The 15,390-nt window shown below is 35.3% G+C and overlaps 1 protein-coding gene and 1 pseudogene across 3 annotated transcripts in view; both read right to left on the bottom strand.

The window, feature by feature from the left end:
- SENP6 (SUMO specific peptidase 6) overlaps nucleotides 1-15,390 on the bottom strand; it is a 116,402-nt gene that overhangs the window by 65,414 nt on the left and 35,598 nt on the right. For 2 of the 3 annotated variants that reach the window (NM_001100409.3, NM_001304792.2), the window contains exon 6: nucleotides 5,067-5,137. In NM_001100409.3, coding sequence (NP_001093879.1) covers nucleotides 5,067-5,137 — 71 coding nt within the window. Of the gene's footprint in view, nucleotides 1-5,066; nucleotides 5,138-12,163; nucleotides 12,185-15,390 lie in introns of all 3 variants that reach the window. The other variant, NM_015571.4, reaches the window with a different exon arrangement.
- On the bottom strand, nucleotides 8,691-8,784 carry RNU6-1016P (RNA, U6 small nuclear 1016, pseudogene; annotated as a pseudogene).

Below are 15,390 nucleotides of genomic sequence, written 5' to 3'. Positions count from 1 at the left end.
CCAGTTATGAAGAAAATATAAGAAAAACATTTTGATCAGACTGGCAAAAACTAAAAGAATGATAATAATCTAATGTTGCTGAAAAGCAGGAGAAAATAGGCCAACTCAAATAATACTGTGTTGGGAGCTAACCATCTTTACACAAGGCATTTTTTTTCTTTTTCTTTTTTTTTTTTTTTTTTTTGAGATTTTTAGTAGAGATGGGATTTCACCATGTTGGCCAGACTGGTTTCAAACTCCTGACCTCAAGCGATCCACCTGCCTCGGCCTCCCAAAGTGCCAGGATTACAGGCGTGAGCCACCGCGCCTGGCCACACAAGGCATTTTGGCATTAACGTATCAAGTCTTAAAAATCTGTATATCATTTGTCCCCCAAATTTTATTTCTAGGGATCTGATGCAAAGAAATAGATCAAATATATAAAAAGCACGTACCAGTACAGTAATAATATTTTAAATGTCAAAACATTGAAAACAAATTATGCCACATAAACATAGTGGGCCACTGCACATTTATTTAAAAAAAAAGATTATAGAAACTTGGATATAAAAATTTGCAGCTGGGCGTGGTGGCTCATGCCTGTAATCCCAGCACTTTGGGAGGCTGAGGCAGGCGGATCACGAGGTCAAAAAAAAGTTGTAAGGAAGTCCTCCATAAATTTAAGAATCCATTTGATTCTTTTTATTTTTCTGAGATATGGTCTCACTCTGTTGCCCAGGTTGGAGGACAGTGGCGCGATTGTGGCTCACTGCAATCTTGACCTGCTGGGCTCAAGTGATCCTCCTGCCTCAGCCTCCCAAGCAGATGGGACTACAGGCACACGCCACTATACCCGGCTAATTTTTATATTTTTTTGGAGAGTTAGGGTTTCACCATGTTGCCCAGGCTGGTCTCAAACTCCTGGGCTCAAGCGATCCTCCTGCCTTGGCCTCCCCAAATGCTGGGATTACAGGTGTGAACTACCATAGCTGGTGCATTTGATTCTTAAACTTCCTTTAATTGTGTTTTCCATGCTGGTTCCATGTCTGTCATCTTTTAATGAGAGTGTAAAAACTAGATATCATAAAGTCAGAAAGCAAGTTACATACAGAACAGTACATACAGTATGAATATTATGTATCAATTTAAAAATGAGTATATGTGCATAGAAAAGATCTGGAGAGTTATATATTAAAATATTAACAACAGCTACCATGACTGGTTGAAAGTTAATATGTGGCCAGAGCAGTGGCCCAAACCTGTAATCCCAGCACTTTGGGAGGCTGAGGCGAGCAGATCGCTGGAGCCCAGAAGCCTGACAGCAAACTGGGCAACACGGTGAAACCTTATCTCTATAAAAAATACAAAAAATTAGCTGGATGTGGCAGCATGCGCCTGCAGTCCCAGCTACTTGGTGGAGGTGGGAGAATGATGTAAGACTAGGAGGTCGAGGCTGCAGTGAGCCATAATCATGTCACTGTACTCCAAGCCTGGGTAATAGAGCAAGACCCTGTCTCAAAAACGAACAAAAAGCAAAAGTTAACATGTGTTAAGCAGTGCTAAATTAGGTGATTGAGTTGTAATTACATAATGTAATTACATGAAGAATATAATTAAATGTACATTCAGGGACAATATATGTCTGTTCTCTCTAACAAGGATACAAAAAACAGGCTGAAAAAAAAGGGAGTTTAAGAAACAAATGAGAGAGTAGGTGGAGAGAAAAATGAGATCTTAACGGTTGTTATTCTGTATGTTTAGAAAAAATTTTTAAAGCAACTAAATAAAAAAGCAACAGGACTTGTGGTCTGACCAAAAATTACACTTAATGGTTTACAAACTTTAATTTTATAGTAAAGAACTGCTTATCATGCTGGTAAGTACTGATATGTGGCTATAACTTATAAAAAAATATACTAAGTGCCTCAAATTCAAAATAAAGAAGGCAAAGAGAACAATAAAGAAAATCACCTTGAGTGTTAACTATAGAAAGACCATGATATCGTTTAGGAGAAAATTATGCTAAGTGTTATGCAAGTAATTAGTGATCTTGTGGTTTGAAATCTCAATGTTTTAAAAGTTATCTCCAAAGGAAATCTTGAAATAAAATGCAATCTTCATATAACAATATATACAGTATTATTATAGCATTGCTATTTATCCTACACCCAAGCATACATGTACCTACCTAACACAAAAGAAGCTGAAAACAAAGTTTACAAGTTAAATACATCAACATTCCTCTCCTAAGGTTTACAAGTATTACTCATAAAACCCTCATTTATTAATAATGAGTCCACAGCTATAAATAATTAATAATCATCAATAAATATATCAGGAAGGTACAGATCTTCCCTACAGACGATTTCCAATCAATAAATGTAAAAGAAATGAAGAAAACAGAAAATCAACATTAGACAAACATTAAGCAGTAACTGATGCCAGCAAGACCCACCAATGGATGCTAAAATCAGTGGGTGAAAGTTTGAAGAAAAACAGGGTATTTGCACAGTTTCAGAGTATATCTCTTCTAAAATCTTTATTAAGCACCAAGGGAAAAACGGTAATTTTACAGTGAAAAAACCCAGCAGAGAGTATCTTAACCAAATGATCATGGTTAACACTACCAATCCTAAGACATATTCAACATCATGTAACCCCTAAAATGATGCACTGAGAATGCCACAACATCATTTCTGTGGAAGTCTTGCCCCAAATGCATAGCCTTAATCTAATCCTAAGACATCATCATCACCAAATTGAGAGGCATTATACAAAGCAACTGACTAGTCTTCAAAATCGTTAAGGAAACTAAGAGAACATGACAAATGCTATGTGGGATCACAGAATGAATCGTGGAACAGAAAAAGGATATTAGTGAAAAGCTAGTGAAATCTAAATAAGTTCTACAGCTTAGTTAAGAATCTTATACCAATTTCTTAGTTTTGCTAAGTGTACGAGGATTATAAAATACTAACATTAAGGGAAGCTGTGTGAAAAAATAAACGTATGTCTCTGTATTAAATTTGCAAATTTTCTCTAAGTCTAAAATTATTTCAAAATAATAGGTTAAGGGCCAGGCGCGGTGGCTGACGCGTGTAATCCCAGCACTTTGGGAGGCCGAGGTGGGTGGATCACGAGGTCAGGAGTTTGAGACCAGTCTGGCCAACATGGTGAAACTTCGTCTCTATTAACAATACAAAAATTAGCTGGGCTTGGTGGCAGGCGCCTGTAATCCCAGCTACTCGGGAGGCTGAGGCAGAGAATTATTTGAACCCGGGAGGCGGAGGTTGCAATGAGCTGAGATCACACCACTGCCTTCCAGCCTGGGCTACAGAGTGAGACCCCATCTCAAAAAACAACAACAACAAACAAACAAACAAAACCCAAGTTAAAAGAACAGTAAATAAGCATGCTCTTTTTTCTCTTAACTTGAATATGCTTATTTACTTAATGAATGCTGTTGAATAAACTTTAAAAATTATTGGTAACAAGCCTGGCTGATAGGCATCTAAAACCATTATTAGTGGGCCAAATCACTTAACATCTTTGAAATGCTTTTTTTTTCACTTTTGAGACCAAGTCTCACTCTGTCACCCAGGCTGGAGCGTAGTGATGCGATCTCGGCTCACTGCAACCTCTGCCTCCTGGGTTCAAGCGATTCTTGTGTCTCAGCCTTCCGAGTAGCTGGGATTATAGGTATGTGCCATCATGCCCAGCTAATTTTTGTATTTTTTTTTTTTCCAGTAGCGATGGGGTTTTGCCATGTTGGCCAGGCTGGTCTCGAATTCCTGACCTCAGGTGATTGCCTGCATCGACATCGTAAAGTGCTGGGATTATAGGTGTGAGCCACCATACCAGGCCAGAAATGCATTTGTTAAAATAAAAATAATACCTTTTGTACAGTTCTGAGGATTAGTAGTAACCTTCTTTGTGACAGAGCAAGAATATAGTAATGTACAGTGTTTAAGAGTGGGATTTGGCATCAAACAGACATGGGTTCCAATACCAGCTCTGTCATTTACTAGCCCTATGTCCTTGAGGAAGTTTTTTAGCTTATAGGGATCTTCAACAGAAAGCTAGGATAAAAGTAAATAATGAATGCAAAGCACTGGACTAAGCATATAGCAGAGTAAGAGCTCAATAAACATTTAAGGTATAACAGAATAAATGCTGAAGAGAGTAGTCACTATTACTAAACTTAATAAACTTAGTAAGCTTAACTATGCTTAGTATGTAAAGTATAATAATTCACATCTATAAAGACTGTTCATTATTAAGAAAGGATGAAATGTTTGGAATATTCTCTTTATGAAATAGAGAAATGTTCAATACATGCACAAAAGATTTTCACCCAAAGTAGAAAAAAAAATGTGGGTGTTTTTTAAAAGCACATTCTAAGCTATCAGAAAAACCTAGCTTTTAAAAATTATTCTATTTTGGAAGTAAGAGCCATCAGAGCTATTTAAACAAACAAAGGCCTCAGAAAAACAAGATGGACACACATTAAGAATCATTATTCCAGATAATGAAAACTGATTTTATGATGATATATTTTTTATAAATGTTATTTGCCCTTATTTTATTTTTTGGATTAATAACCAGTATATTGAAAAATATTTCAATATGAATATAAATACTTACTCACCATGATTTTCCAGTATCTACTATTAACACAGTTTTAGCAGGTGTGGTCTCTTTTTAATTGAGTGTTTCCCTAATGTATTCTAAATTTTAGAAGCAAAACCAGTAAGTGGAAACACAATTACATAATACATTATAACATAGTTCAATAAAACTCAATTTCAAAGCTATAGCTCAACTACAGTTACACTATTTGCAAATTTGTAACATAGCAAAAATGCTAAAATAATCAAAAGATTTCAAACTGTAATCACCTAACTGTGCAACTGTTCCAGGTATCAGGTTACCATTGAAGAAATTCTCAAATCAGTTACAAAAAAATGGTTTTCTACATATATATCTATTATACCTGGGAATATTCTAAAGCCAGCATCGTATCTCCATTGTACTTTTCATACAGCAATTTGAAATCCTTCACAGGTGTAACAAAACTGCACACTTACCAACACCTTGGAGCCGACTTAACCTTACAGGATTAATTTCAACTTTTTGGACATGAGGTGGGTATTCTTTCCTAAAAAAGAAATTTATGTAGTTTTATTCTAACAGGAAATACAGTTTTCAAAATGAAAAAGTTAATGGCATACTTACAATAAGCCTATTAAAAGCAAATCATAGCTTCTTTGCCATATAAAAAGTGATACTATAAAATAACAAAACTATACCAATAAATGAAACTCAATTTGTAAAATTTTACTGTATTTTTTAGTTGTTTAAAAACAAATTAATAAATAAAGGAATAAATGTTGAATGAGATTGTCTTGAGGACAATTCCAAAATCAGAACAAAAAACGTTACGTACAAGATCAGCAATCGTGGAACAAGTATTTAGTCTTGTAGTATGATTACATTATGTCAGGGGCTATAAAGTATGTTTGTTGTAAAGTATTAAATTCCTCTCTTAAACTTCAAATACACACAATATCAAGGATTTTAAACATAATCCTTAGTAACTAAGTACTATATCTAAATACTACATCCAAATACTGTATCTATTTAAACACAACACTAATTTTGGGGGAAAAAAGCAAAATTTGGGGGGAAAAAAAGCAAAAACCTTATAGCTAATTGTATAAAAGCGCATCACAGAAGGGGAACTACAAAAAGTGCAACAGACCAGGGAGCTACAATAGCTACTTTCCTACTCTAAATAAACCACATAAAAATAAAAGAGGCTATTTATTTGTAATTCTATTCACACTGGTGATCTAGTAATGTAAATCATAGCTTTCATTTCATTAAAATCATTTTACTCAAACAAAAGTTCCAAAGAAATTTTCTTGCAAGAATTTCAAATTCTTATATTACAAAAAGTCAAGGCACTTGAACTGAAAACAAAATATGAAAATAACAAAAGAAAAAGTAATATGGGTGGAGATAGTAGTGTACTTACTTTTTTTTTTTTTTTTGAGACGGAGTCTCGCTCTGTCGCCCAGGCTGGAGTGCAGTGGCATGACCTCGGCTCACTGCAAGCTCCGCCTCCCAGGTTCATGCCATTCTCCTGCCTCAGCCTCCCGAGTAGCTAGGACTACAGGCGCCCACCACCACGCCCAGCTAATTTTTTGTATTTTTAGTAGAGATGGGCTTTCACTGTGTTAGCCAGGATGGTCTTGATCTCCTGACCTCGTGATCTGCCTGTCTCAGCCTCCCAAAGTGCTGGGATTACAGGCGTGAGCCACCGCGCCCGGCTGACAGTAGTGTACTTATAATAGCAGTCAGAAAATAGCATCATGTGCCATGTGTGCTTTGTATTTATTAATTCCTTTAATCCTCACAATAAACTTATATAACATATTAATACTTTATACATGAAAAAATTGAAATGCAATAAGGTTAATCAACTTGTCCATGGTCACACAATTATTAAATAGCAATGCCAGAATCTGAATCCCAGCAAATTGCACCAATATCAAGCAGAGCAACATCTGGTAAAACTGGGCAATTTCCACACTGAAAAATTTGAAATTTGTGAAGATATGCATTATGAAAATGAGAATTTGCCTGAGATGTAGTAGTAACAGTCTTATAAGAAAGAAGGTAGGTTTTTAGTTCCTAACTTGGGATTAAAATAAAATGCATATTTTCAAATTCCATACACTTTCACACTAAAGAGAATATAATATAGTCTTATTTCCAAATCCAGGTTTACCTAGATTTAGTAAAAACAATTGACATAAATCATCTGAGACAGTAAATCATACATGCATGTATAGAGATTGATGAAACTGTTATATTAATGCAGTGCTCTTGCAATTTGAACTTGTGTACTGAGCCATCTTTGCTAATGAGGGACAACATGCTGAATACATCATATGATAGCTACAATCTTACCAAGTATTGTAACATTAAACTAATGTGTATACTTCCCTGTATTTCCAGAATTTATGGCCACTGTTTTCAATATTTGCTATATTTTTTCCTATAAAAGCAGGGCAAATTAAAGTTCTGTTTTTTAAAAATTATAATAAAGAAACAGAGTATCTTAAATACAAGAATATAAACATTTCAAGATAAAAATGTTTGATAAACTACCTAGCCATATATTATTTTCTCCAAAATTCAGTTTTAAAACCTTTTTGCTAGATGATCTAAAATGAAAATTTACATTAATTTCTTTCTTTCTTTGAGACAGAGTCTGGCTCTGTCACCAGGCTGGAGAACAGTAGCGTGCGCAATCTTGGCTCACTGCAACCTCTGCCTCCCGGGTTCAAGTGATTCCCATGCCTCAGCCTCCTGAGTAGCTGGGATTACACGTGTGCGCCACCATGCTGTGCTAATTTTTGTTATTTTTAGTAGAGATGGTGTTTCACCATGTCAGCCAGGCTGGCCTCGAACTCCTGGCCTCAAGTGATCTGCCTGCCTCGGCCTCCCAAAGTGCTGAGATTACAGGCATAAACCACCACACCTGGCCAGCATTTACATTAATTTCTTAATTTGAGGATTCCATTACTCTTGCAGGTATAAATTTCAAATTCCAAACTCATTGAAAATCAAGCCTAGGATTTAATCTCAAAGTGGCTATTTCTTTTCTACCCCTAACCAACCAGAGGCAGAGAAGCTCTACTGTCATCTGCTGTCTTCCTGTGTAGGTGGGTAGCATTTTTGCTTCTTAGGGTTTGCGTTTGTGTAGCTTCAGAGGTCCCATTTCATAAACCCAAGATTTTTACAAGCTGTTTAAAATGAACTAGAGAGCATTTATTTCTCTATCCTGAATTGTTTAAATAACATCAGAATGCTCTGTTCATTAAAAGTTCGATAAGCCTCAGTGGTGAAAGTCTATTTTTTGTAGTAAACTAAGTTTGAAATAATTTTAGATTTGCAGAAAAGTTACGAAGACAATTCAGAATACCCTTATATCTCTTACCCTAATGTCAACACCTTAATATTGCCATCACACGTCAAAAAAGAAACCAACACTGGTACACTATTACGAACTAAATTCTAGCCTTAGAAATTTACCGGCTGGGCAAGGTGGCTCATGCCTGTAATCCCAACACTTTGGGAGGCCAAGGCCGTCAGATCACTTGAGGCCAGGAGTTCGCGGCCAGACTGGCCAACATGGCGAAACACCGTCTCTACTAAAAATACAAAAATCAGCCAGGCATGGTGGTACATGCCTGTAATCCCAGCTACTCAGGAGGCTGAGGCACAAGAATTGCTTGAACCTGAGAGGCAGAGGTTGCAGTGAGCCAAGGTTGCACCATTGCCCTCTAGCCTAGGCGACAGAGCCAGACTGTCTCAAAGAAAAAGAAAACAAAAAAAAAAAAAAGAAAGAAAGAAATTTACCAGCTATTTACTAATACCCCATTTTTGTTCCAGGATCCAATCTAGGATACAATGCATTAAGTCATCATGTCTCCTTAGTCTCCTCTCTTGTGTTTTTCAGTATTTAGAGAGAACTCGTCAGGTATTTCATAGAGTGTCCCTCGGTCTAAGTTATAATCCAATTGTTATCAGTTTGGGCATTTGGGAGCCCTTTTAGTTGGCTCCCGTTTCCCTTTGATGTAACTACATCCTTTTGGTGTTTTTTTTTTCTTTTTTACTGTGATAAAACATACACAGTTTACAAGAATATGAAATGCTTTACTAATTCGTGTGTCATCCATGCTAATCATCTCTCTATTGTTCCAATTTTAGTACAGGTGCTTTTGAAGTGGGCACTCTTAATTTTTTGAACATTTTCTAGGTTTCTGATACCATACTCATTCTGTGTCTTACCTATCACAACCCCAGAATCAGCCATTTCTCCAAATTCCTTTTAGTGGAGAGTGGTATTTAGAAACCAGGATCTGGACACCATTTCTCTTTTTGTTATTGTTGTTTGCCTTGCTTTAATGATAGCTCTTTTTATTAATTTTTCCATTATTATAAAAGATGGCCAAATACATACATTTCTATGAAAATGAATCAAGTCTTATTTATTTTACAGTTAAAATTCATTATTCCTATTTAACTGATAAACCAGTTTAATTTTCAAGATGTATTAAAGTCTCCCACAATTGTATTCTATTGTTTTCATTTTTTTGAGATGGCGCCTTGCTGTCACCCAGGCTGGAGTGCAGTGGCACTATCTTGGCTTACTGCAACCTTCGCCTCCCAGGTTCAAGCAATTCTCATGTCTCAACCTCCCGAGTAGCTGGGATTACAGGCGCATGCCATCACACCCGGCTAATTTTTGTATTTTTAATAGAGGCGGGGTTTTACCATGTTGAATTTCTTGAATTTTAACTATTTTAGGGGAGGCTTTACATTTATTTGTTATGTTCCCATAAACTGTGCCTATTACAAAATGTGCTCCTTTATCCTGTCTACTGCTTTTAATCCTTAACTCCATCTCCCTTGTAATTAAAATTCCACTCATGCTTTCTTTTTGTTTGCATCTCTTGTGGCTTTAAACTTACTTTCACATTGTTATTTTAGTATGATGCTTGTAAACAATGTAGTATAGCTGGGTTTAATCAAATCAGCATGTCTTTTGTTAAATATACTGACTACAGTTATTATAACTACTGATAGGACTTGTTTTCATTTTACTCTATTACTTTTTATATTTCTATTTATGTTTATTATTTCATTTTGTTTCCTCTTTTCTCCTATTTTTATACAACACTGTTTGCACAACATACTCTTTTGCTTCCTTACTGAATTTAACAAATGAATATAGTTACCTTCCCTCTCAATGCTTATTACAGTTACCAAGATTCAAATGATTTCCTCAAGCAAATTATATTATATCCCTAATGGGATGAGACCTTCAAAATCTTTTTATTTTTCCACCTTAACCCTTCCAATCCCCACCTCCCCCACCAAAAAGATTGGTTTTACCTCTGTCTTTCTACCTCCCCAACTCCTAGACCTTGCTGAGATAGTTTTGAGTACTTACAGACTATTACTGATTTTCCTTTGTAACACACCTCCATTTAGAGAGGAACTTGCCCAGCCTTAACTGATTGCCACTGATTTAAACTTCTATTTATGCCAAATTATAAATCACATGCAAAAGACTGTGTTTAAAAATCTCAAATATTTATCAGGTAACAATACTTCCCTATCTCAAATGCTCTGAAAGCTTCTATCGCACTAATATAAAATCCAAATGCTTCAGATCACCTTACAAAAACCTTTTATGACGTAGGTCCCAGCCAGTCTCTCCAAACCCGTCTCATAACATTGTCTCCTTTCCTCTCTAAGCTCCAGCCTTAGTGGCCCCTTTTTTCTGTTCTTTGACATGCCAAACTCATTCCTGGATTAGTAACTTAGCACAACCTCTTCCCTATCTGGAAAAGCCATTCTTATGATCGTGGCACTGCCAATTCCCCATTTAGTCTTTAGTTAAATGTTAGCTTCATAGTAAAGAGTTTCCCTGAATATGCGATTTAAAGAAATCATACTGTCAGTCTATCACATCAACCCATTACACTTCTCTACATGGAAATTATTATTTCATGTTTTACTTGTTCAGTATTAGTCTTTGTCCCATAAGAATGTAAACTACAGGACTGCGGGGATCTTGTCTGCTTTGTTCATCACTGTATCCTTATGCAGGATGCACTGTATCCTGTAACAGCAGGTTCGATAAATACTTGGAATGAATAAAAGCGTATGCCTAAAAGGCAGCATGTAATCAAAAATATATTTACCATTTCAAACAATTGTAGAAACATTGCTGTCCATGTCATCACCAAGGATGGTAATGCTGTCAAAACTGAAGCACTGGCCACCATGCCCATGCAGAGCCATCACATAGCAATTCAAAATATTAATCCATCAGCTGATGTACAAATGTCAAAATTCAGGCATTTGAAAGGCACTATAGACTCGTTTTTTTTTTTAATTGATTCAACAGTTTGGTTGGAAATTAAAAATAGCTGGACTTTCCAGTTTGTTTACTGTCTTACTACCTACTCCAGGCCAATTATTTTATTTTTTTGTAGAGACAGGGCCTTCCTATGTTGCCAAGGCTAGTCTGGAACTCCTGGGCTCAAGAGATACTCCCGCTTTGCCCTCCCAAAGTACTAAGATTATAGGTGTGAGCCACCTTGCCCAGTCCAGCTACTCTTATGGATACCCACTTTAGAACAATTATGATCATTTTACTTTGAAATGTTCAAAGAAATGTGTGTGTTTTCTTAAACACTTTTCCATGCCATTTATACCATTCAAATATCCTCTAAAAGAACAACATGTGTCTGCCAGTGTTCTTACAAAGAGAACAAATAATGATAGAAGACTGATCACAAAATTCTCTTACAAACCTTTCAGTCAGAAGAGAATACACTTGATGTTTAAAGTTTTAACTCTAAGCTTAAGGTGTTTAATACATTTCCCTCTCCCTCCCCCAGTCTATTAAAGCATAAAAACAAGGGTATTATCACTAAAATATAATGATAAAGATTTTGATGATGTAACTGAAAGCAATTTTACTACTAAAGCACTGAAATATTCTATTTTAAAAGAAAGGAGTCACTTATTAGCATAAATATATATAACCATTATAGAAAAATGTACATTCAGAATGAGCCTCAAATACCACCTATATAAGCCAAATACCATGTTGTACTGTCAACAAGTTTCCTTTTATTATAGAGAGTAGAACTGTGGATACTGTAGGCTGGGAAGGGTAGGGGAGGAGAGGATGGAGGGAGGTGGGTTCACAAATACAAAATTACAGCTAGACAGGAAGAATGAGTTCTCACTTTCTGTGGCACTATAGGGTGAATATGGTTAACTATAATTTATTTTATGTTTTCAAAAAGCCAGAAAAAGGGACTTTGAATGCTGACAACACAAAGGAACAAAAAATGTTTGAGGTGATGGATATACTAATTACCCTGATCTGATCATACACATTGTATACCTGTATTGATATATTACTCTGTATCCTATAAATATGTACAATTATTACATGTCAACTAAAACTTTAAAATTAAAAAAAGCTTTAATTATAAACTCTAATTCAACCAATATTTTTCAAAACATATAAATAATTTTATATTTTACCACTATATCCATGCTCTAATTTCTTCAATATTAAGCTTACCTTTCTTTTCGGTCCAGACTGCTTAAAACATGAAAAAGAAAAAAAATATAAGAGGCAAGACCTCATTGTTGATATATCACTGTAGTTGCAGTAACTATAGTCATTAAGGCAAAATTATACTGTGATCAACTTGTTTTAAATACATTATATATATATAATATACTATGTTTTGAGTCATGTCTAAATTGTTTTTCGATTTCTGTCAATATACAAAATAAACAAACAGGAAGATGAATACACAAAAATATAAAAAAATCTTAAAAGGGCTTTAACTATCAAATACTTGAAGATATGTTAGAATACAATATTCCCTGCTATTCTCTAACGATCCTTTCCAAGACCCCCAATGGGTGCCTGAAACTGATGATAGTACCGAATCCAATATACCAAAATGAAGCATTGGTAAAAACATTTCATAAATAAAATGGGTGTCAACCACACTTTCTGATTACATTGCCAGAAGACGAGCAAATGTTTTTGTGAGCACATGGGTTTTTTGCTCTGTATACTACACCTGGTTTTATTATATGCCCGAGAGTGTTGCTACATAGCAGAAGAGTTAGCTTGTCCTTTCATGTTTAATGCCATGGTACCTCCTTTGTACTTTTATAAATAGTATGTACTTCCCTCACCTGGACATAATTCTCAATATCTGAAAAATTCAATAATGTTATCATAGCAAATTCAGAAACAACTTCAGTATCTACTAATAAGGGAATGGTTAAATCAAACCACAAATAAGGAGGAGACTACTGTTGTTACAGAAATAGTCTTCAAGAAACAATAGCATTTCCTAGAAGTTATAAAATTTTTACTGGTTCCAGACTGATCCTAATATCAGGTATGATTATTTCCTTTGGAGTAAGAAAAAAAATTTTTTAAGGCTGAAATTTTTGCACAAAAGTCTTAGATTAAATATGGTATATGATTTGGGACACAAGGAAAAGCCTATAATTTAAAATCTTGGCTTCTTATCACAAGTCCAATGTATAAAAGTTCCACCCTTCTCCATAGTTCATGAAAACTCCAAAAAGCTATTAACATCAATTACTCGAGAATGAAATTATATAAGCCCTCAATTTAGAATAAAATGAGATTCATGTCTAATATTATTTATCCTTATTATAAAAGGAATGAAATATTTGGAACTAACTGTAAGCAAAGCATAATTTACAAAATCCCCAAATTCCTATATCAATTCTTATACTCCTATCATGTGGAGTATGCAACTAAAATACCAATTTAATCCTAGCAAATGAAGAAAAAAAATATAGTAACTTGTTTTTACATGAACACATTAAAAATATACAAATTTAAAAAAAATTTTCAAAAGGAAAAGAATATTATAAATGTACATTAATATATCTGAAATTTTATCTTTGCTACTAAAAAACACATAGGTTAGATAAATGACAGAAAAACAAGGGAATATAATCACATCCCTATTAAAGAAGCGAAGCAAAATATAAACATAAAAGTTTAAATCTAGTCTGTCCTATCCTATGTATTTATTTCTTATATAGCTGCATTTCCAGAAAAAGCAAAATGAAAACCAACAGTTAGGCATTAATACCTAATGTAGCCACTTCCAATTCTATACTGCTGTGCCCAAAAAATAAGAACAGTTTAGTACTCTCTTGTTTTTGTTTTTGAGATGACAGGGTCTGGCTCTGTCACCCAGGCTGGAGTGCAGTGGCACAACCACAGCTCACTGTAGCCTTGATCTCCCTAGGCTCAGGTGATTCTCCCACCTTGAGCAGCTGGGACTACAAGTGTGCACCACTATGCCTGGCTAATGTTTGTATTTTTTATGGAGACAAGATTTCGCCATGTTGGTAAGGCTGGTCTCGAACTCCTGGGCTCAGGCTATCCTCCTATTTTGCCCTCCCAAAGTGCTGGGATTACAGGTCTAAGTCAACCATGTCCGGCCTCTGTTGTTTTTTATACTCACCTGTACAGAGGAAAGGAAATAGGTAGAAAAACAGAGGTAGAAGAAACGGGTTAGGTATAATACTTCCCAATAAGCCAAGGGAGTTAGGAAAAGGAAAACAGTTAAAAAAAAAAAAAAAAAAAAAAAAAAAATATATATATATATATATATATATATATATATACACACACACACACACACACACACACACACACACACTACACACACAAAGACACATCAATGCTCATTTTTCTTATCCTTGAGAAAAAATGCATTCATTATAATGTATCTGATTAACAAGTCATGGTATTCTTACAGGTACCTTCAATATGTGTTTTTATCAAGTCCTGCCCTAGAGTTGCTTTCATGTTAAAATAAAACATAAAACCGGGGAAAAGTCATTATTAGTAATGTAGGACTTTGTAAAAATGTCAACTTACATTCTTGTTGGACTATTTCATACAATATAGAAAAGAAAAATTACCTTCAATTAGTACTATAACTGTGGCCTTAAAATTAAAAAAAAAAAAAACAAAAGAAAAGGGAAAAAGACTAATAGATAAATTCTGGTATCAATGACCTCATTTACAACTTCAAAAATTCTCTCAAAATGGGACAGGTGTGGTGGCACAAGCCTGTAATCCCAGCACTTTGGGAGGCCAAGGTGGGTGGACTATTTGAGGTAAAGAGTTCGAGACCAGCCTGACCAACATAGTGACACCGCATCTCTACTAAAAACACACACACACAAATATTAGCTGGGCATGGTGGCACACGCCTGTAATTTCAGCCACTCAGGAGGCTGAGAATTGCTTAAACCTAGGAGGTGGAGGCTGCAGTGAGTGGAGATCACGCCACTGCACTCCAGCATGGGCAGTAGAAGAGCGAGACTCAGTCTCAAACAAACACAAAAAACCTCTCAAAATGGTGCTTTTCACTAATAATTAAATATTACTTATTCTAGGAGCCCATATTCCTATTTATGAATTATATATGCTTTCATAGACATCCATATCCCCCTAAGTTGCGGGGGAAGACTTAAAAGATAAAGATGATAAAAAGACTTCTAAGAACCTTATAAGAATTACAAGAATTTCTTATAAGGTTCTTATAAGTCTTTTTATCTATACTTAATAAAAAGTCAAAAAATGTGAAAGTGTAAGTAAAACATCAACCCATAAAATGTGTTGTTTCAACAAGTCAGATTGAAGTTAGGGGCAGGGATGGTATGAACTACAGACTTTTAAATTTCTGCATTTTTTTCCATACTTCTCTATCACTATTAGTGTATAAACAA

The sequence above is a fragment of the Homo sapiens genome, chromosome 6, assembly GCF_000001405.40.
Source record: "Homo sapiens chromosome 6, GRCh38.p14 Primary Assembly".
Lineage (NCBI taxonomy): Eukaryota > Metazoa > Chordata > Mammalia > Primates > Hominidae > Homo > Homo sapiens.
This window is presented reverse-complemented; position numbering and strand designations above follow the sequence as displayed.